The sequence below is a fragment of the Homo sapiens genome, chromosome 3 (genome assembly GCF_000001405.40).
Source record: "Homo sapiens chromosome 3, GRCh38.p14 Primary Assembly".
Taxonomy (NCBI): Eukaryota; Metazoa; Chordata; class Mammalia; order Primates; family Hominidae; genus Homo; species Homo sapiens.
In genome coordinates this window covers 97,706,304-97,730,317 of record NC_000003.12, presented here as the reverse complement: position 1 = coordinate 97,730,317, position 24,014 = coordinate 97,706,304, and the positions used below count along the sequence as shown (strand labels likewise).

The 24,014-nt window shown below is 37.8% G+C and overlaps 1 protein-coding gene and 1 long non-coding RNA gene across 16 annotated transcripts in view, besides 1 other annotated feature; one reads left to right on the top strand and one right to left on the bottom strand.

The window, feature by feature from the left end:
• Window positions 1-12,919, top strand: part of LOC124906256 (uncharacterized) — a 40,819-nt gene extending 27,900 nt beyond the window's left edge. The window contains exons 3-5 of one of the 2 annotated variants that reach the window (XR_007095973.1): window positions 3,997-4,125; window positions 9,620-9,825; window positions 12,740-12,919. This is a non-coding gene — a long non-coding RNA (uncharacterized LOC124906256). The remainder of the gene's footprint in view (window positions 1-3,996; window positions 4,126-9,619; window positions 9,826-12,739) is intronic. The other variant, XR_007095972.1, reaches the window with a different exon arrangement.
• Window positions 1-24,014, bottom strand: part of EPHA6 (EPH receptor A6) — a 946,939-nt gene that overhangs the window by 31,215 nt on the left and 891,710 nt on the right. For all 14 annotated transcript variants that reach the window (XR_001740110.2, XM_017006211.2, XM_006713592.4 and 11 more), the window contains one exon: window positions 9,908-10,057. Coding sequence is in view for 13 of the 14 variants with exons in the window: in XM_017006211.2 (XP_016861700.1) it covers window positions 9,908-10,057 (150 nt within the window). In the remaining variant the exon portion in view is untranslated. The remainder of the gene's footprint in view (window positions 1-9,907; window positions 10,058-24,014) is intronic.
• Window positions 18,329-18,833: an enhancer, noted in NCBI's record as "NANOG hESC enhancer chr3:97430329-97430833 (GRCh37/hg19 assembly coordinates)". NCBI's record gives its function as "activates a minimal SCP1, AML or CMV promoter by ChIP-STARR-seq in naive H9 embryonic stem cells {active_cell/tissue: H9 hESC(naive)}" and the evidence as "EXISTENCE:reporter gene assay evidence [ECO:0000049][PMID:30033119]".

Below are 24,014 nucleotides of genomic sequence, written 5' to 3'. Positions count from 1 at the left end.
ACAATTTTTAACAACCTAGAATCAACAGAAGGCTCAGTTGGGGCACGTAGCAGGCTGTTCTGCTCTTGCTGAATCTGATGAGTTTTCCAATTTTCTTGATGGTTTCTGAATCAAAGAAGGCAATGCACATCTTATATTAAGGAAAACAAGTATTAGACAGTCAATAAGAAGATATTGAGACATCTCTGAACAATACTATTGAGCAAGGACTGCTTAGACTGTGCAGGGTATCACATTTTTATGTTATAAGGCTGCTAGGTATCTCCAAAAGAGAGGCACGTTGAATTTAGTTATTTATACAGTCTTTTAAAAAGAAACTGTCTCAAAATTTAACAAGGGCTGAAATGTACACTAGAAAATGGAATGTGAAATGGTTTTATTTTTATCTTCCTTCTAAATATTCTTCACATCTTTGTGGAAAACCTATAATTTCAGGTAGAAGGGGGATTGCAAAGCAGAGAGTCACAGTCTATACTTACTTTTTGTGGTAACGATTATTTATACAGATTAGGATATTTATATTCATAATACAATAACACTGAAAACACTGGTAATGTATTTTCCTGGTGTGCAATATAAAGATTGTGTCTACATGAGCAAAAAAAAAGAAAAAGAAAAAATAAGGCAGAAGGAAAGTGGTTCTAAGTAAATAACACTTGTAATTTTATACTTTCTGATATGGCTTGGCCGTGTCCCCACCCAAATCTCATCTTGTACTGTAGCTCCGACAATCCCCACATGTCGTGGGAGGAACCCAGTGGCAGGTAATTGAATCATGGGGGTGTGTCTTTCCCGTGCTGTTCTCATGATCGTGAATAAGTCCCATGAGATCTGATGGTTTTACAAAGGGCAGTCCCCCTGCACATATTCTCTTGCCTGCCACCACGTAAGACATGCCTTCACTCCTTTTTGTCTTCTACCATGATTGTGAGGCCTCCCCAGCCATGAGGAACTGTGAGTCCATTAAGCCTTTTTCCTTTATAAATTACCCAGTCTCTGGTTATTTCTTCATAGCAGTGTGAAAATGGACTAATATACTTTCTCATTCAATATTTTTCAACATTCAGAATGTATAACTCAATTAAAAGCAATCAAATGCCAAATGAAATTAGGTATACTAATAAAAAGAATTATAGAAAAAAGGCGTTACAGTGATGAAATATTTAGACAGAGAAAACACTTTTTTCAGAGACTAATTTGTTGTTTAGCCTAAGATTTTCTTTTTCAGATTTTCTTCTTAGCTTTAAGATTAAAAAAAAACTTTCTTAAAATCCTACACCTAAGACAATTCTCCATCCTTTCTTTTTGGAAGTCACAATAGCATGTCAAGGACCTATATAAAATAGAAAGTGTTGGTCCTTCAGGAGGTCTCCTTTTTACGGATTGTTAAATGAGTGGACAAAATGAGGAACAACATGTAGGACTCTCATATGTTAAAAAGTTGTTGATGACATGATTTATCATTTAAAAAATCTTTGTTGCTAACAGTTTAAAGTCTCATTCAGTTTGTAAGTCATGGAAACAACATTAGAGAAGGAGTTGCCTGAAACCGCACTGAAGTCCTAAGTTGTCACTAACCAAGCTCTGCCTTTGGGCAAGTCTCTGACTCTTCATTGATAAAGGAAAGAGGACTGGACTCTGTCTGCAATAGTACCTTTCACCTCAAAAAATCTATGATTCTGGTCATTGAAACCAAAGATTTAGTCTGTAGGAACTTTGGTAACATCTCTAGATCTGGTGTTTCTGTAAATTTAATTCTGGATTTGGCCTCCATTCTAAGGAATATTTCTCACAGAGTTCCAAGTGCTTAGATGGACCTCTATACTGAGACAAAAATACAGACAGAACCAGAGTATATCCTTGTAAAGTAAAGCTAGGAAGATTTGGGGCACCATGGTATTTCTTACTATGCCAGTTCCTGGACAACAAATTACATTTTTGAAAATACAAGGACACATTCCAAATCTACTTTTCTGAGACTATTTTTTTTTCTTTAAGAAGCTGATGTTCTTAAGACTTAGTGCCATTTCCCAAGCACTCTCTGGGAAAAAATGAAATTTCTTCACTGGTGGATCATTTTGATTTTAGAAAGATAGTAGACAACTCTAAATAATACATTTCCTGGCTCCACTAAAAATATCTAAAAGCTATGGAAAAATAGATTATGACTACAAAGAAAAAGGGAATTTGAAAATGCTCTCTTTGTAAAGGCTCCAAAGAGCATGAAAATGAATAAAAATCATAAGTTCTAAAGCTAGTAAATATATTTCTTCCAAATAGAAATTAAAGGTATAATTAATTTTTTATGAAAATATTGCTGGCATGTACACATTTTCCAGTTTTGTGGTCATTCAGTTAAAAAAATTTTCCCTTAAAAGTTATACTGTGGTAGTACCGCATTGTTTACTGGTTTCTTCTCCTTGAAACTTATTTGAATTATGATTGATTACATCTTGTAATATTCCCTATTATTCTTGCCTCTGTAGCAGATGTACATCATACTCATGTAATTAGTATGTATTTAATTAAAATACTGCGATAGCCTATTTACCAACAGTAAGAATTACTGAAAAGTTAGGAAAACGAAGGCCTTTTTGAAAATTCCTTTGGTAGAATACATATTCAAATAAATGTAAAAATTCCTCTGTATTATAGAAGGTGGAAATAATAGAAATGGGCTTTTAGCAATTTGCTGTAGTGTCTTACACAGATCATTACACAAGGACCATTACATAATAAAGTAGAGTTTGGAAAATCTAATCAGAGACAAAAATTGGAAATGACTGGGATCTCTGAGTCATAAAATCATGCTGCATTTCAGGTAAGTGGATTCTACATATCCACTATTCTTGGCTGAAAGACTGACCCATAACTGAGAAAGGTTATAGAATTATGAGGACAAACAGGAAGTACAGTAAAAGGTTATTTTCTTCCTTCTTAAATTTGGAAAAAACAAATCAATTCAGCTAAGATCAAAAGTTTATTTCTGACCACATCACCTATAAAAATAAAATTCTAATGATAAACTCCATATTTTCCCCCTCAGGTGAGTTTCAGAAAGCAATCTAAAGCAAAACTCATTATTATTTAAAAGCATTTGAAAAGCAAGGAGGGAAAAATAAATGAAAACAAAAACACCAAGGAAGCATCCTGTTTTCTAGTAAACCTCAAATGAAATGCTCCCTGATAGCAGTTCTCTTTTTGGGAAACTGAACTAGTTAGCTAGCTAGCATATGCCTAAATGATACCATACCCAGGAGGCATTTGGGCTTCAAAGTGCTTCAAGGTGATTTTTATTTTTTAACAGCATCATGTCAGGGGAAAGAAACAAAACGAAACAAAACCCAAGACTGCAATCTTACATTTAGATCATTAGCTTGAGCTAAGTCACCTCTCATTTAAGTGTCGCTACTTTTTTCCCTACATATGAGCTCTGTGGGGATTTGGTTATTTAATGTTGCCTGCTGTTCGTGTTTTGCTTCCATTTTCTTCTGTTAACTACATTACATGGTATAAGTGTTGGAGGGAAGAACCACGGTGCCCTTGGTATCATCTTTGGAGCATGTGTAGTTCCAGCATTACAATACACTTCCATTATGTAGTAAATAATAACTATTTCGAACTTGGATGAAAATAACATAAAACATTACCCTGAAATACCTTATAAAAAAGAAGAAAAATCTTCATACGCTAGAAAACAGCAAGGGGCTATACACTTTCAAGGTACTTGTGAAATGTTTCTGGCAATAGGCTAAATATGTCAATCTTTAAAATTTGATTTTAAGCTACTGCCTTAAATATTTTTAAGAAATATAGTAACGGTATGGTACATTTTATAAATTTTTAACATCAAGACAAAAATCCTGCAGAAAATATTTATATTTCCAAACAACTGGGAGTCAATCCACATTATTTTGCGAATAGGAAACAATAAAAATACTACTCTTGTGATAGAGGAGCATGCATAATTAAATGTGCTTTGATCTCATTTTGTAGAACTGTGGTGTGAAGACTCCTTTGAAAATTGGACTTCCACAGTAGAGCTTAACGGGTAAAAGCATGCATTTAGGAGTAAGCAGGGGGCCTGAACTTTGGTGTTATCAGTAACCAGCTATGTAACCATGGGTAAGCTACTTGTACTTTATAAGCCTCAGTTATCTTATCTAGAAATGGGAATAATAATGGTTACCTACAACAGAAAATAATCTTGAAAATTAAATGAGCTAATAATATAAAATACTTGGCTCATAGTAAGACCAGAAAATGTAAGCTATTATTACCATTGATTAAACACCTATGTACCAGGTACTTTACATATATTATCTCTAATTCTTTCAAATTCCAGAGCTGGGTATTTTGAACCTCAGTATACCCAGTATCTCAGAAAGCTTAAACAACTTGCCTAAGATTATATGGCTAGTGAATTGTGGATCTGGGATTCGATCCCAGATCTTTCTAGCTAGAAAGCGGTGGCTCTTAACTGGGGGTGATTTTCCCCTCCATCTTATGTTGATGACGGGACAACATCTGGGATATTTTTGGTTGTCACAGTGTGGGAGGGTTTTACTGGCATCTGCTTCTTAGTGGCTGAGTATGCTGCTAAATGTGCTGCAAAGCATGTAACATATTTATCTGCAAAGAATTTTTTGGCCCCAAATGTCAATAGTGCTAAGGTTGAGAGATCTTGTTCTAAAGCCCGACTGGTCTTTTCAATAACATCTGCTGCCTCATTAGAATACAGTGATGCACAATGTTAATATTTTGCTGTTATTTGATACTGCAGTAAATAAAGTTGCTCTTGAAAACGATATATACCAAAAAAGTAATATACACCTTCTGATAGCACAACTGCATTGCTTTGGGGAATTCCTCCCTCACTAGAGGTAATTATGGGGAAACTGCCAGTTACAATGCTCTGACCACCTCTAAGTGCACAGACTGGCATATAAACCTAGCTGGGTCAATCATAGTGTCCATTTCCCTGGCATGGTTTTTGTTTAGTGTGGGGCAAGGTCCTAACAAAGCCAGCCAGAATCTCCTCTGGGATTTGTGTACGAATTTGCACAGAAAGAAGGTCTCGTTTTGCTGGGGTTGCAAAGCTGGAATACTGAGCCCTGGAATGTAAAGAAGCAGACAGCGAAGAACTTAGCAGTAGGAGAGAATGAGGTCAATGCACCTAGTGAAGCACTAAAAATCCTGCACGAGCCTCTGGATTGAGCAATGCTGGACCACCTTCTTAGTTTCATGATGAAAAAATTTCCTACTTTTTGCTTATGTTACTTTGGGTTACATTTCTTTCATTTGTAATCAAAAGAACCCTGAAAAATAGGGCCTGCAAGCTTTCTTGGCATATATATTTATTAAACAATAACTGTGTTTTCACACAGTATTGTTTCCATTTAAAAAACAAGTAGAAGGCACAGAATCTACCCTTGATGAGTCTACATTCTATTTGGGGGTGGGGATAACACTTAAAAATACCAGAATTTTATCTCATTACCTACATAGTGGGTTCTTTGAGAGTGAAAACTGCATTTTCTTTTACTTTATTTCCCTTAAAAAAAAAAGATACCGGACTTCACTCTGTCACCAGGCTGGAGTACAGTGACACATCATCATGGCTCACTGTCACCTGGAACTCTTGGGCTCAAGCCTTCTGAGTAACTGTGACTGTAGGTGTGCGCCACCACACCCAGCTAATTTTTTCTATATTTTGTAGAGACAAGGTCTCGCTATATTCCCCACATTGGTCTGGAACTCCTGGGAAGTGATCTTCCTGCCTCAGCCTCCCAAAGCATTGATTATATGTGTGAGCTACTATGCTTGGCCTACTGAGAACTGGATTTTCTAATTCCCCATCCCCACCCCACATACACATTTGGTCTAATGACTGGCGCATGCTTAACTGCTGAATGGCTAAGCAGATGGTACCTGCTATTATATTTTGTTAGGTCTTTTATGGACTAGTTCTGTGTACTCTTTTTTTCTCATTTCCTTTCCCTAAAGTATAATACCACTGACCTTTGGGAAACTCATTATATTATTCACTAAAACAGATTCTGCAGATTCAGAATTGTTCATTGTAATAAAATATACAACAGTCTGCAGAACGGAGAAACTCATAAAAACAATCTGAAATTTCTTAAACTAATTTAAAATCATAAAACATGGTAACATTCCATTTGATCTGTATGAATAGCCTTGTTAAACTCACCAAATTGTAGTAAAAATATAAAATATTCTCACAGAACATAGTCAAATTTGTATTGTCTATCACATTTTCATTTAAAAGAGGCCTTGCTTGGTAAAAGTCAAATGTAATACTGTATTTTGATCAAATAAATGAGAAATGCAGGACAGATAGGGAATAGCCAGTATTTGGAAAGAGCAGCTGGGAAGTTTTTGATTAAGCTATTTCTGCTTCCAAACAAAATCCTGGTTATAGGATCTGTCACAGTTATGCTGACTTCCAATATGTGAAGCTAAACAGAATTTCAACTCTCTTTACTGCAGCAGCAAAAATATTCACAAGATACATAAAAGATTTTAGCTCCTACTATTTTCCTGTAGTCTTGAATTGATGTGAGGACCTCAAGGTTTGGGTTTTTTTTCACCCCCCAGGCCTCCATCCTCTTTTTTCCCCTTTTCCCAGATTCTTGCTTGAATATTCTTTGGTAATGCACGTCAAGACCATGACAATACAACAGCTTAAACCCTACCTAGTGGAAAAACAATCAAGCTCTGGGTGGAGGAAGAGTTCAGCCTTGTGCTGTGAGCATTGGCAATCCTGAACGAATGAGAATGAGCTTAATGTTGGAACTCTATTCCTGGCTGCAGCATCTTCTCCAGGTTCCAGATAGAGCCTCTGTGGCCAAATGAGGTTTAATAGACAAAAATCACTCTCTAAATGGTCGTCTTGGACACAGATCACCAATATACATGGCCAGAATGGCTGGGCAACCTTTTGGGCAAGATCCAGGAAAAGATGATGGACAACAGGGTTTGGACTGCTTTAGGCTACAATTATTAAGAACAATTTACATGGTGGACTATGTTGAAAACTACACATTTGGGCAAAAGCTGCTCTCCTAAAAAATCTGTCTTGTGGTCTGGCATCTTCATTTGTCCTTCTGCTCTGTGGACATCCTATCTAATTCTTGGCACCTCTGCAGAGATTCAGAAAAGTCCTAAACATCAGAAAAGAATATTATGAATCATTCCTTATTCCATTTGCTGAGAAAAATATAATAAATATTTCTTCAGAGATTATAAAATCATAGCATGTTACTGTTAAAGTGGATATTAAAAATCATCTCACCCCTTTCTTGTACTTATTGAAAGTGAGGCACTTTTAAAGTTAAGTGTCTTTCATGGTTGAGTTATAGTCCACATAACTGTGGCCATGGTTACTAAATGGGTGGTGCCATAATCTGGGGGGCAGGAAAAATCATGGAACTGCTTTTTATATTTATTTGTATCCTCCTATTATAAGAATGATTATTTATGAATGTCTAATTAGAATGATTATTACTTTTATGACCATAAATGACTTTTATGAATATATTTTGCAATATATATATATATTTAAATCAACAACCCAATATCTCTTATCCTCTTCTCTTGCTTTTTTCCCCCATAGCAGTGATTATCATGTTATATACTATGTCTCTTATCGATTTTGTTTATAGTCTATCTCCCTCCCATTAGAAAGTAAGCTCCATGAGGGCAAGAAACCACTGGCCCTACGTGAGGAGCTACATGGACTGTAAACAAAACCACCATGAAAGATACAATTATTCCTCTTCTCCTTGCCCATGACCTAGTCTAGAAGTTTATTGGAATTATTTTCTAAGAGCATTAATAAGTCACCACTATGAGAGTTTAAGGAAATATGTCACTTCTCTATGCCTCAGTTTCATGACCAATAAAGGGATTGGCCTAGATAATCTTTACAGTCCCTTCCAAATGTAATATGTGTTCTCTGGTGAAAGCCTAGTTCCTAGAATGGAGAAGGCATTCACTAAATAGTTTTAAATGAATATATTAGTACAGTAGTACTTGTATATAATCTGCAAATAAATATACATATGCCATCTATGGATGCTCAAGAACTTCTTACTGATACCAGTATATTAGTAAAGTTTTGGGCCCTCTGATTTAAGTCTGCTGGGAACTGGTTAAGACAAGAACCAAATAGAATACCAATTAGGGAGGGTACTTGAAGACTCTTCTGTGCAGTGAAGACTATAACTCATCTGGAGGAGAAGGACTTTTTATTCTGGGCATTTGCTTGAATGGCCTATTTTGGTTGTGTTAAAATAGGACAAGCAGGCAAGCATTATCTTGAGTTTAGGGCAGAAGAGGAATTATGGTGACTGAAACCAGGGCTTTTACTACCTAAGGTAACTGGTTAAAACAAACAAACAAACAAAATCCCCAAATATGGGTTCCTTTTGAAAGTGAAGGAACAAATTTATGCCTCTGGAATTCAGTTTTAGGAAAAACTGGAAAAGCAGCCAGGAACTGCCCCAAACAAAGCCCAATGGCAGGGAAGAGCAAAGGAGTCCTTCAAATATGATTCCCTGATGAATAGCAGACTGTAGGCAAATGGCCCAGATCCAAAAAGTCTAAGTGTTGCGGGGGTGGAGCAAAGGTTGCTGGTTATGATGCACTTTGTCCTTAAGGCCAAATGCTCTGTAGGGCCCAGCCACACTGGCTTTGCAGTTTGATGTTGTGCTTTGGAGAACAATGACTGAGCAGTGTGTTTGGCCTCAAACCTGCTGCTACGTTAACTTCTGGACCTAGCATTTTCCACAGAGTCAGTAGACACCCACAGTACTAAGGAGTCAGCTTCAAAAGCAGTACTGTATGGCAGGGAGAAACACTAGCCATGGCCAGCCAACCAAAATCCAATCTTATCTATGCCTGACATTAGAAAAGGATAAATTTTCTCTGTGATTAAGTCCTTAAGATACTTGGACAACTTGAGATTGGGATAGTATGAGGTGTGGAGGTGTGTGTGGGTTGCTTAAGTTGTGTTAAAACTGGCAAAAATAAATGAGATGTGGCAATAGTGTTTAGGGATTATCTATAGTTACGTAGCCTTTGTTTTCACCTATGAACATTCAGAATCACATTATAGGTGATTTCTTATTACCATTGTATCAGAAACCATCTTATAGTTTGAGAAGAACAGGTGAGTAGACAAAGCCTGAATTTCGAGATGAGGAAGTGGGAACTTAAAATATAATGTCAGCTCTGACAGCACACTTATTTGCATTGTCAGAGTATCTGCATCTTCTGAATACTGTCTCTATCACTGTGGATAGGTCACAGGGGTTCAATGTGTGAATTCTCCTGTTCTATAATATTATAGTATCAACCACCAAGGTAGTTTTATAGATAAAATAGAAACAAAACAGTTTGCATTAGGGGTCATGCATATCAAAAGAACCGTACTAGATGGCACATATTGATAATGCATTGCCTGAAAGCATTCACTTTTTTCCCTCTAAGTGATATCTAGTCTAAATTGATTTGCTCTTTACAGTGCTGCATTGAATTGCCCTAAGGAAGAAACGAAAAGTAAACATTACTCTTTCTTTTGTCTTACTTGTAGGTCAAGGCTATTGCACAAACACAGTCAGACTTCATTAGAACAAGCATGGAAATCTGAGATGTAACATGTGCATCAGGCACTCACATGGCACAGCCTGGCAGCTGTCCCTGAGGACATCAAATACAGCTCAGAGTGAAAGGTTACTCAGCTTCTCAAACTCAGCCATAGACCATGAGAAGTTCTCAGGAAGATAAAGGCCAATCTGAGTGAGGACAAAAGGCATAATTCCCCCTCAAGCTAATGTGTTTACATTCACAAAATGGCAGTTTAACTATCGGTAGCACTTACATCTTGGTTAGACATTTCCCAATAAGGTCTCTCTCCATAGGACATGACCTCCCACATGACAATGCCATAGCTCCATGCATCGCTTGCTGAGGAGAATTTTCTGTAGGCGATGGCTTCTGGGGCTGTCCACCTTATGGGGATTTTTCCACCCTGGAAAACAAATTGGAGATTTCTTAGCTGGCTTATCGTTGTATTAAAAACAAAATGGTATTCCAATTAAATATTTTTTATTAGAAAGATCTAAATACTTCATAATAGCACTGGCATTTTAAATTAAAATCAAAAGAAAGCCAGAATAATGTTAAAATGTCAGAAACATTTCCTATAATTATTCAGTAAAAATAGCTTTAATGGGAAATAAGTCACACTTCAGAAATATTTTATTTCATTCATTAGAGAAATTTATTTTTACTTTAGATTCACACAATTAACCCCTCTATAATGCCATTTGAAGAAAGTTCCAGATTATAGGACATTAAAACTAAATATCGTTCAACACTCATTAAACATTGTATTGCATTTATAAATAATAATGAGAATAATCTCTAACTTAATTGAAGACAAGTGCTTAAATACAGAACGGAAACATTCTCTACCAATTCAATACTTACCAGAATTTTATTTGTTCCCTTTGTTTGCTTTACATCTGCTATGATTACATTTATTTTATATGAAAACATTCTTAACCAGTATATAAGCGCACCTTGAAAGGATAATCTTTCTTTCAAAAACTTTAATATAGTTTATATTTTTATTCTTCAATTTCAACTTAACATTTTAACATATTAAAGGAATTAAATTGTATGAATTTAAAGGTTCAAGAATTAAAGTCTGCCATTGTATTACACTTAAATTTTATTAACATTTATTACCTTTTATCTCTTGAAACACTCTATAAATCCCTTTTTACTGTAATGACAAGAATAAAACAATTCATCCATTTGATTTACAATTTTAAAATCCCTGCAGCTCCAAAGTGCGAGTTGAAGGGACGAAAGCAGCCCTAGCGCCACTAGATGGCGGAAGAGAACAATGAGCGGCTCCCAGATTGCTGTCTTAAACCGTGGAGGTGGCTTAGGTTCATAACAAAAATTATTTTTGACAGTCAGAGCTCACCACAAAGGGATTGTTTCAACATTGTCCATGATCATGATCACATAATCTGATCACCCACTGTGTGCAAAGCCTGGTGCAAGTAGGGGTGGAAAGAAAAGTGTGTTCTTTGGCCCTTAAGGAATTTAAGTTAAATATCTTTAAAGGTGAAACTATTAATTGAGTAATCTAAACACTACTTACCGCGGCGGGGGGGGTGGGGGGGGGGGTGGGGGGGGCGGGAACGGATTCATCCAAAATGGGAACAATTTAGGTTTTACAAGGCAAATGAGAGCATTAATGGAACACTCATTTCAAAGACTAGTAGCATGGAATTGTTAGAAGAAACCTTGGGGAAAACACCTTGAATCCACTCCCTTGATTTTATAAGTGAGCAAACTGAGCCCAGGGCTTGGAAATTTCAAGGTTTAGAAATTTCTCACCATATTATTGAGTACCTTATGTATATTAATGCTGTCATATGATGTAAAGATGTAATACTTAAGCACAGGGATTCTGTAACCACATATCAAAGCAGCCCAATAGAAGGAAGCCTGAAGCCCGAGGTTTTCATGCATTGGGGCAGAGGTTAAAGGCAGCACCAAATTAAGACTAGGGAATTAAATTTACAAAGTTGGTGACAGTAGCTTAAGAGTGTTGGGGGGCAGGGAGTTGCAAGGGGAGAAAATTCATTCTTGAACCCAAAGTAGGGTAGCCAGATAAAATAAGGGACTCATGGTTAAATTTGTATTTCAGATAAATAACAAATAATTTTTCATTATAAGTATGTTCCACAAGGGAATTTTTTGGTATAAGTACATCCCAAATATTATATGAGACATATTTATACTTAAAAAAAACCAAATCATTGTTTATCTGCAATTCAAACTTAACTGGGCACTCTATATTTTTATTTACTAAATCTATCTACCCTAATCCAAAGCACTAAAAAAATTCAGAAATGAGAACACTGCAAGTGATCCAATTGGACATAAAGTCATGTTCTAAAAAATGGGTGTGATCTTCACAAGGGGGTAAGGATACCTCTACTTGTATTTGTGCACCAATACTAGAGTATTCTTGTTTTATTGTATGTTTGTGACTAAAGTGCCTCAGTCTTGTGGCTCTGCATATTGAGCTATTTAAGTAAGATTCAGGTTTGTTTCCAATATGGAAGCCACATTTCCAGAGAACAAAGTCCAAATTTGTCAATTTGACCCGAGAACATATACAAGGGCAAGGGCAGCAGTCCCATCTGGCATTTCTCATGCTGGATCTTTCTTTGTTCCAGAAAACAATATGTAAGAGTGTGACTTGCTAGCCTGCCTGGCTGTTCCTTTGCTAAATCTTTGTGGGTTCTATTAAGATAGGTCAAAAAGCAGAGTTAATGGTTATTTTATGTTCATTTACTCATTCACCTATAAATGATATTTCATATAAATTATTCACATATAAATTTATATTTTGAATAATTTGATATCACATATAAGTGACAACGTTATCACTTTCCTTCATACGGTTTTATTTTTTTCTGTAAGGGGAAGGTATTACAGAATATTTGATTAATGGCATTGCTCCCTGTTATGAACTCAATTGTGTTCCCCTAAAATTCATACATTGAAGCCTTAACCCCCACTGTGACTATATTTTGAGATAGGGTCTTTAAAGAAGTAATTAAGGTCAAATAAAATTATAAGGGTATGGCCCTCATCTAATATGACTTTGTTCTTTCCTTATAAGAAGATGAAAAGGTATCAGAGGCATGCAGGCACAGAGAAAAAGCCATTTGAGGCCATCCTCAAGAAGAAGCCATCTGTAAGCCACAGAGTGGGGCCTTAGGAGAAGCCAAGCTGTCAGCACCTTGATCTTGGACTTCCAGCCTCTAGAACTGTGAGAAATAAATTCCTATTGTTTAAACCACCCAGTCTGTGGTGTTTTGTTATGGCAGCCCTAGCAGACTAATACACTACCACTATAAAATTTTTTTTTTCAAAACACTTTGTTAAAATGAACAACATTACAAAATGGACAGTGCAACTTTATTTCCAATTTTATTTCAACTGTTGTCTTTTTTTTTTTTTTTTTTTGAGATGGAGTTTCACTCTTGTTGCCCAGGCTGGAGTGCAATGGCGCGATCCTGGCTCACAGCAACTTCTGCCTCCTGGGTTCAAGAAATTCTCCTGCCTCAGCCTCCCGAGTAGCTGGGATTACAGTCACCTGCCACCACGCCCAGCTAATTTTTTTGTATTTTAGTAGAGACAGGGTTTCACCATGTCGGCCAGGCTGACCAACATGGTGATGGTCCATATTGAACTCCTGACCTCAAGTGATCCACCCACCTTGGCCTCCCAAAGTGCTGGGATTACAGGCCCACCACACCTGGCCAACAACTGCTGTCTTTAAATGGAAAGTATGAACTGGAATAAATCTTAAAATAAAACAAGAAAAAATGGGACATAAGTTTAATGTAGGAAATAGAATTTGAATTAACAAAATGCATGATAATATGAACCTGATGGTATGCACAAACTGGAATAATTCTGAGCATACATGGAATAGGGATAGGGAAGCAGTCACATCTTTTGTTCCAATGGGAGGATATATACGGGATACAGTTTATATCTAATTGCAAGATGAGGCAGAAAGGAAGAAGTCCTTCAGGCACTGCATAGTCTCCGTTCCTTACATTAGAGGAAACACAGAAGCACCTGGGTCTTTTCTTTTTTTTTTTTTTTTTTTTTTTTGAGACGGAGTCTCGCTCTGTCGCCCGGGCCGGACTGCGGACTGCAGTGGCGCAATCTCGGCTCACTGCAAGCTCCGCTTCCCGGGTTCACGCCATTCTCCTGCCTCAGCCTCCCGAGTAGCTGGGACTACAGGCGCCCGCCACCGCGCCCGGCTAATTTTTTGTATTTTTAGTAGAGACGGGGTTTCACCTTGTTAGCCAGGATGGTCTCGATCTCCTGACCTCATGATCCACCCGCCTCGGCCTCCCAAAGTGCTGGGATTACAGGCGTGAGCCACCGCGCCCGGCCCATCTTTTCTTTTTCCTTTTTTAATTGAATGGATCAACTTAAACTTTTGTGGCTTGATCTCATCTACATATTTTTGCCCATGATCTTGAATCATATACAGAGGTAATGCACTAAGGTACTTTTTTTCTTAAAGCATTAACCACCAGATGTTTGCTTCAGGTTTCGGGAATGAACAAATAGTACTTTAGATTTGAAATCACAATTATTGGAACATTACATGTTGCTTTACCATATGTTTATGAGAGAGAAAAAAATTACCAAAGATGCTAATCAAAGTGACTGAATGTAACTCAAATGGCTTCTCATTTACTAATACTTCTCTTACAGAGCAAACTTAATAACTTAGGGAACAAAAGAAAAACAGGAAATAAGTAAACTGGAGGGGTACTAAAATGTTTATTAGTAAAACTTTTGTGTTTTTGTTTTCCAAGTCATATTCAGAGATTGTTGTCTGATAAATAGGTAGGTAGTTGTAGCTGAAAAAGTGCTAATGAGGGAACAAGAAGTACTGTATATTTGTGTATCTTTGTCTGCCCTATATCCCCAGAGTGGAGTTGTATTATAGGTGCATTTAACACCTGAGTATTACTATATAAGCCTCTAATCTGCAGAGGAGAGACCAATCAATTGAAATGTAGTAAGGATACAGAGGCTTAATACTGGAACCAAATGGAAAAATTCTGTAGAGAAGCAAGAACACTTAAAATGTCTCTCTCTGTTTCTCATTTACTAGATTTGATGGTTATCTTGAAGGTGAACGGTTTGAATAGACAGTAATCTGTCTGTAGACTTTTGCTCTGTTCTCAATCTATCTCTATAGTACTCAATTAATGAGTATATATTATACTAAAGCATAATTTAAAAAATCCTTAAGAGCAATTTTGACTAAACAATATTTTTCTTTCTGAAATACAAATTGTAAGATGCAACTTTACTATAGTTCACTGTGTGACCTTGGGCAAGGCTTAATCCTCGGAGTCTTAGATTTCAGAACTGCAAAATGAAGGGATTTGAATTAATGACCATAAAATAGTAAACTATAATGAGTTTTGACATTTGCCCACAATTTCTCAGCTCTCATTAAATTGTAAAGAGATAGGCCATACGAGTGGGTACCAAGACCGTGTGAGCAGACAGCCTGATGGCAGACAGAAAAGGAGGCAAGCACACTTTAGGTTACATCCCTGGCCAATAATTCATGGTTACAGTGGTGATCGTGAGTGGTAAGCAAGAGGGAAAGTAACTTAAACACTTTGTTTAAGAAGACAACAGCATGAATAATATATATTGGAAAGGTTTGAAACCAAGGTTTGACTTTTTCTTTCTTTTTATTTTTTAACTCTTAATGGGTAACCATTGGTTATTTGGAAAGCTTATCATATGGAGTCTTACTGATGTCAGACAAAGAAGGCATTAATGTGCTTACTGGAGGATGACTTTAAGTTATAATTTCTTGTTGGTGGGATTATGTGTGGCAGAGGTGGTCTCGTTTCAGCAGCTTTTGTGGAGAGGTCAGCATTCTGGGGCCTTCTGCCTTAATTCACTATGGTGTCCCAAAAAGTCACAGCAAGTCACAGAATGATCTCAAATTCACTAGTTAGAACAGACAACCCTAACTAGGGGGATAGTCCTCTTACTCTTGAGAATCACTGATCTTGAGAAAGAAATCCATCTCTCGTGCATCACTTCCTAGTTTGTATTCCCAAATCAACAAATTATTTTATAGTGTAAAACGATATTATATTGTGCATGTGTTTTAAAACTATGTGCCCAGCCTCTTTCAGAGAGGCATGTGTATTCCTCCTTTATTGAGATTTACAAATTTAGGGAAACTTTGGTACTCTGGAAAGTTTTGTCCTTTTCTGAAATATGGAAATAATATCTGTCTTTACTTGAAGAAAGTTTGAAGGCTAATAGTGGAATGAATTCATTTATAGCTACAAAGGAGAAACTTCTCATATTTTGGCTTCTAGATAACATTTGTTAAGTGGATTAAATGAGATGGTACACATAAAGCACCTCTTAGCAGCCAGCACCCAGTGTACACTCAGTAAATGTTATCTGTTTCCTTAATTATGTATCCAAAGTTTGTCTTTTTTTGGACTCATTTGGCTTCCAGCCCAGATCAGCATCTCAATTCCTTCATGTGGAATCACTGAACTCACCCCTACCATGCCCAGGCTTAGGGATGATCTTCTCAAACAGCAGATTTTAGGAGTCAGAGGTGCAAAGTCAATTCTGCTGATGGACAGTCTCTGACACAGTTCTAGTAATTTAGACCTTGTCTTGCCCAGTTCAAGGAAATCTGTGTGTCTTGGTCCAGTGAGTTTAGTCCCATGCTTAAACCCCTGCCATTGTCCTCCCAGTGCCCTTCCAAGACTGGAGACAAATTGCATTCATCTTAATATTTCACAGGTAGAATTCTGTCATCATATAATATCATTTATGGTTGAGTGCTGGCAGGCCAGACTTCTGTCTGCAGCTTGACCAGCCTGATAAGGATTGTGTCTGGATTGCTTGCTTTTCCTGTGTGTTTCTATTCTCTTTCTGAGGTCATGGCACACTAGGTAAGCTATGAAACGCTTGTCCTTGAAATACACATGTAGACACAGTCATATGTGTACAGACATGCATGCATGCACATGGGATTGTGCAGGGGCACACAATTTCGTATCAATGTCTCAAGATTCACAGATGCCAGATTAAAAACACTCTTACCCTAAGCAAAAGAACCTTTTTTTGGCACAGTATTTTTAAAATATTGGTTCTTAATAACCAATTTTTATAAGCTGATAAGCACTGCAGAAATCGATGGTAAACAGCATTGTTTTAGGTAACAAACATATGAAACTAAATTTTTAAAAAATCTTATATGAGATTTTTTCTCCCTTGTTTGAGGTTTTCATTATGTGTGCTGAGGATCTTCATGAGGGTGTTCACTGAGGTCTCAGGGTTTTATATTTCATGAACCCAGAGCTCACCAACTATTGGTCCTTGGGTTGAAAAAGGTCTGAATTTAGGCTTTTCATGGCTAAGTTATTTTTATTTTGTTTCCTTAAACTGAAACTAAATGTCTTTAGACAGGGCATGGGCTCTCTAGAGCGTCTGCTCCACCCTCTCACCAAGTCTTTCATCAGACACACTTGACCTATTTCCATTATCTTCCTGGCCCTGTCGGTGTTGCTGCCCTATCCCTCCCCCACCCTAACTCTAAGCCTACGCTTCCATCTGATTATGAAATACACAATTATCTCCTTTTGAAATTTGTTTTACAGTGTATTTTTCATAGAGAATAGGGGCAGATGAGAAACAATTTCAAATAAACATGAATAGCTAAATCATCAGCTTTGTTTTCTACTTGCTAAAAAAATTCTTAACTATGGAAAGACTCTCCTCCTCCTCTCCTCATTTGCAATACTTAGAACTACACTACATTTTTATTCATTGTTTAAATGTATAAGCAGCTCAGTGAATGCTAATTTTTTGTTGTTCCTGTAATAAAACACTGCTTATCGTGCTATTCAAACCCTGAAGAATTAGGATCCTTTTCACCTGCTTCCTCTTAAATTGCTCCTGAAAATAATTCATTGCCATCTATTTCTCAGTATTCTCTTTCACTGAGAACATAGGTGCTACATCATTAAGTGAGTAACACTATTCTGGGGGACATCTGTAAAAGTGGATTTTCTATTTCATCCTATAAGGTAGATAATGTAGGACACAATGCTACTTTAGTGTGGGAGAATAAATATGTACTTTATTATGAGAACTGCCATTGTATCTGAGTTTAGATAACTTAAACACTACTGACAGTACAGGCAATTTTTTCAAAACAACCTATCACTTCTTATGGTTTTGAAAACATACTGCATGGTAAAGACTCAGGGGGATAGCTGATAATATGTTAAAATGAGTTAAGAAATACTATTCCCACTCTTATCTGGATAGCAGTACTCTTCTCTAACATCTCTCTTGAGGTATTCTCTCTCTCACTTTTTTAAACCCAGCTGTACAGAAGACTACCTACCCCAGCCTACCCTCCCCAGTGTATTTTAAATAATGATTTTTAAAGTTTCTTATTTGTAGTATTTATTGCAAAGAACTATGGAAATTAACACAAAAGTAATGGATTTTATTTTTAAAAAATGTACAACATAAATCATAAAGGGGAGTGAAAGATTAATTATTCCAGGCCATTGGCAATTGTTAATATTGAGATATTTAATACATTAAATTTTTAATGAAAATATAACTCTTCAGATATATAACATTTGACAGTTTTATAAAGCATTTTTATATCAGTGGTATCAATTTGATGTGTAACATTAAAGAGTGGGTACTTTGCTTTCTTATCAGGTTGCACTGTGAGAATAATACTAATACAAAGCAATGATTAATCCCTGTAGCATCTGTGATGATTAATTTTATGTGTCAACTTGACTGGCCTGAGGGATGACCAGATAGCTGGTAAAACATTATTTCTAGTGTGGTTGTGAGAGTGTTTCTGGAGGAAAACATTAGCATTTGAATCAGTAGATTAAGTACAGAAGCTTTCCTTGAGGACAGGTATCATCCAATCTACTGAGGGCCCAGATAGAACAAAAGAGTGGAGGAAGAGTGAGTTTGCTTTCTCTTCTGGAGCTGGGACATCCATCTTCTGCTGCTCTTGAACATCAGAACTCTAGGTTCTTAGACCTTTGGACTTTGGGACCTATACAAGTTCTCCCCTGCCCCTGCCCTTTTCTTAGCCTTTGGGTTAAAACTGCATTATATCATCATCTTTCCTGGTTCTCCAGCTTGCAGATGGCGTATCCTGGGACTTTTCAGCCTCCATAATCACGGGAATGAATTCCCATAATTATATATATATATATATATCCTAATGGTTCTGTTTCTCTGGAGAATCCTGACTGTATTAGTCCATTTTCTTGCTTCTGATAAAGACATACCCGAGACTGGGCAATTTACAAAAGAAAGAGGTTTAGTGGACTCATGGTTCCACATGGCTGGGGAGGCCTCACAATCATGGTGGAAGGCAAGGAGGAGCAAGTTACGTCTTACATGGATGGCAGCAGCTAAAGAGACAGAGAGAGAGCTTGTGAAGGGAAACTCCCATTTTTAAAACCATCAGATCTTGTGAAGCCAATTCACCATCACAAGAACAGCACGGGAAAGACTTACTCCCACGATTCAACCACCTCCCACCAGCTCCCTCCCACAACACGTGGGAATTCAAGATGAAATTTGGGTGGAGACACAGCCAAACCATATCGCTGACTGATACACCATCTATCTCTATCCATGGTTGGATGATAATTATTTGAGGAAAAGATTTAGATCCTGTCATTAGGAAAATAAATTACATAAAGTGAAGCATACCTATATTTATACTAGTAGTATTTGCAAACTCTGCTTAAAAACAAATATCCAAAAAGAATGGAAAACTTGAATAGTACTCCAAAGTATACACAAGGGTGATTCTCATAAATCCTGGGGTGCTTGTTTTGGACAAGCAGCATGCAATGTAGAGAGACAAAACAACAGTAGAGCTGAATCCTGGCTTCTTGGCCCTCTTTCTTCTCTAATCTGTTTTGTGATCTTAGGCAAGTTACAGATTTTTCTGTAAATAGAGGGAACTGGACTTGTATCTTGTAGTTCATATGAAGGTCTAATATTCTATGATTTTTTAATATATGTAATACCCCAGTGAATTAAAACAGAGGGAACAACCTTCACTTCTGTCTAAGGAAACAGACAGGAAGTGTTAGTGCAGAGCTCAGTTGCTTCCTGTGCCATTGTTATGCCCACAGGCTCTTTATACATTAAGTTAGACTGTTCCTGACAGATCCACAGTGCTTGGAACATATCTGAGCAGCAGGTCTTCTTTTGCAGCTATTGCATGTAGTGTTGTGATATATTGGTTTAGAATGGAACAGTGACCTTAAATTACCATTGTCAGAAAGGCTAGCTCTGACTATCATCTGAGGAGGAGAGAAAAGATGAAGAATGACATCTTTAGAGGCAGTCTGTTTGGGGTCAGCTACTCAGTCAGAAGTACACTCAATAGGAAAGAGGGCACAGTCATCTGAAAGACTGAAGAACATCACTCTAGGGAAAGGATGGGGCTGAAGGGCTCACCCCCAAAGGTGGAGAAGAACTTGGAAAAATGTCTGGAAGTACCTAGAGCTGGAAATACCAAAATATGTTTAATACAAATAAATCTATTTTAAAGGTAGACTTTCGCTGAAAGAATTATTAAAATGCTCATATTTTCTGTATTAGTCTGTTTTCACATTGCTATAAAGAACTACTTCAGACTGGGTAATTTATAAACAAAAGGGGTTGAATTGACTCACAGTTCCACATGGCTGGAAAGGCCTCAGGAAACTTAACAATTATAGCGGTAGGTGAGGGGGAAGCAAGGCATGTCTTACATGGTGGCAGAAGAGAGTAAGAGTGAGGGAGCATCTGCCAAATACTTTTAAACCATCATATTTCATGAGAACTCACTATCACAAGAAGTGAAGCATGGGGGGAGACTGCCCCCAAGATCCAATCACCTCCCACCAAATCCCTCCCTTGACATGTGGGGATTACAATTTGAGATGAAATTCATATGTGGACACAGAGCCAAACCATATCAATCCACCCTGGCCCCTCCCAAATCTCATGTCCTTTTCACATTTCAAAAGCAACCATGCCTTCCCAATAGTCACTCGAAGTTGTAACTCATTCCAGCATTAACTGAAAAGTCCAAATCCAAAGTCTCATCTGGGACAGCAAGTCCCTTCCACCTATGAACCTATAAAATCAAAAACAAGCTAGTTACTTCCAAGATACAATGGAGGTACAGGCATTGAGTAAATCTTCCAGTTCTGAATGGGAGAAATTAGCCAAAACAAAGGGGCCACAGGCCCCATGCAAGTCTGAAACCCAACAGGGCAGTCATTAAATTTAAAGTTCCAAAATAATCTCCTTTGACTCCATGTCTCACATCCAGGCCACACTGATGCAAGAAGTGGGCTCCCAAGGCCTTTGGCAGCTCTGCCCCTGTGACTCTGCAGGGTACAGCCCCATTGGCTGCTTTCACAGGCTGGCGTTGAGTGCCTGTGGCTTTTTTTTTTTTTTTTTGACTTGCATGGGGCCAGGTGTATGTAACACTCTGGGGTCTTGAGGATAGTGTCCCTCTTCTCACAGCTCCACCAGGCAGTGCCCCAGTAGGGACTATGGGTGGGGGCTCCAACCCCACATTTTCCCTCTACATTGCACTAGTAGAGGTTCTCCATGAAGGCTCTGCTCCTGCAACAGACTTCTGCCTGGACATCCAGGCATTTCCATACGTCCTCTGAAATCTAGGTAGATGCCCCCAAAGCTCAATTCTTGTCTTCTGCACACCTGCAGGCCCAATATCACATGGAAGCCACCAAGGCCTGACGCTTGCACCCTCTGAAGCAATGGCCCGAGCTGTACCTTGGCCTCTTTTAGCCATGACTGGAGCTGGCACAGCTGGGACACTGGGCACCAAGTCCTCAGGCTGTACAGAGCAGTGGGGCCCTGGGCCCAGCCAATGAAACCACTTTTCACTCCTAGGCCTCCAGGCCTGTGTTGGGAAGAACTGCCATGAAGATCTCTGAAATGCCCTGGAGACATTTTCCCCATTGTCTTGGCGATTAACATTTGACCTCTCTTTACTTAAGCACATTTCTGCAGCTGGTAGCTTGAATTTCTTCCCCCAAAATGGGATTTTCTTTTCTACCAAAAGGTCAGGCTTCAAATTTTCCAAACTTTTACACTCTGCTTCCCTTTTAAACATAAGTTCCAATTTCAGACCATCTCTTTGTGTACACATATAACTGTATTTGTTCAGAAAAAGCCAGGTCACATCTTTAATTCTCTGCTGCTTAGAAATTTCTTCTGCCAGGTACCCTAAATCATCTCTCTCAAGTTCAAAGTTTCACAGATCTCTAGGGTAGGGGCAAAATGTCAGTGGTCTCTTTGCTAAAACATAGCAAGTGACTTCAGTTCCCAATAAGTTCCTCATCTCCATCTGAGACCACCTAAGCTTGGATATCATTGTCCATATCACTATCAGCATTTTGGTCAAAACCATTCAACAAGTCTTGAGGAAGTTCCAAACTTTCCCACATCTTTCTGTCTCCTTCTGAGCCCTCCAAAATGTTCCAACCTCTGCCCATTATTCAGTTCCAAAGTTGCTTTCACATTTTTAGGTATCTTTATAGCAGTACCCCACTCTTGGCACCAATTTTCTGTATTAGTCCATTTTCATTCTGCTATAAAGAACTACCTCAGACTGGGTAAAAACAAAAGAGGTTTAATTGACTTACAGTTCTACATGGCTGAGGAGGCCTCAGGCAACTTACAATCATGGCAGAAGGAGAAGAGAAAGCAAGGCACATCTTACATGGTGGCAGGAGAGAGAGAGAGGAACTGCCAAACACTTTTAAACCATCAGATCTCATGAGAACTCACTCACTATCATGAGAACAACATGGGGGAAACTGGTCCCATGATCCAATCACCTCCCACCAGGTCCCTCCCTCGACGTGTGGGGATAACAATTGGAGGTGGATTTGGGTGGGGACATATAGCCAAATCATATTATATTTTAAGTAGGTTTTAAAGCTGGGGTAAATTGATTAAAAAATGGAAGACAGTCTACTCATCCTCAGGTTCATAGTTGAGAAAATTTATACAAACCTTTATTCTTCATTCCATTATTCCAACACAATATGCTGTATTTTCAACTTTTCTCATTTCTAAAACCAATGGAACTTTCAGATCCTTACTGGTTTATGATCAAAGTGATTATTCCTCTTATGCCTGCCTATAACACTTACTGTCTGCCTCACTCATTTTGCACCTAGCATCATGTAACCTCTACGTACTATTATTTGAATTTTTAAAAGGTGAATGTACTGTCCTCCCAGAAAGTTTATAAGAGTTTTGGAGGATCTTTCATTCTTCTTTTTACTAAATGCTACTTCACAGTATTTAGTATGGTGCTATGATTATAATGTAAATTTATTGATTATTTGCTGGGAGGATGACTTGGGATGAATTAGGAAAGTGGTGTAAAATGAAAGGCACAGTCTCAGAACTATACTATATAAGTAGAAATCACATTTTGACTTTCAGTTCCTTTTTAGTCATCATTATGACTTTGATTAATGATAAGGAAAAAAAGAAAGCAGGGATTTCTCAGTCTAAATTTTCAATTTAAAAAGGGTACCACTAGAGAGGCACTGAAGGTCACTGGTGGCATTCATTCATTCATTCCCTTAGTCTTGAGTTTCTTGAACACATCTCACATGCCAGGTGCTAGAGTCACAAGGAAGACATGCTTCTTGTCCTCAGGGAGCTCATGTTACAGTAAGAGAAACATTGATGTAAATAAATAAATAAATAATAACAGCACAGAGGGTAAGGGGTCTAACAGAAGTTTGTACCAGATTCAATTGGCAGCAAAAAAAAAAAAACAACAAAACAAAGGAGGGATCAGTTCTTTGGGATGGCTGTGTGAGGAGGCAAAAACCTTCAGAATAGAGGTAATCTTTTAGGTAGAGCTGACAAGAAAAGTCAGAATTTGACTAGTAAGACAAAAAGACTAGGACACCCCTTCAGAGAAAACAAAGTTCACAGTAAGAGGCACAGAAGGGCGACACAGCGTCTCATGTCCAAGAAATTGCAAGTTGTCTGAAATTGCTGCCACTAAGAGTCTAAGAAAAACTGATGATTGTGAAGTTGGAGACAGCAGCAATAGCCATGACAGCGAAGACTTGGTTAGACAACTGGAATAGCAGGCAGTGAGATTTCACAATGTTACCATCACTAGAAACGCATTCCTACAAAACAGAATTTTATAATTTGGGTTGCATCTGTCACTTTTTTATGTGCAAAATTATACAAAATTTGGTTTGATTTCTTTTTTGTTTGTTATTGTCCTTTGTTTGTTGTGGCTTAAA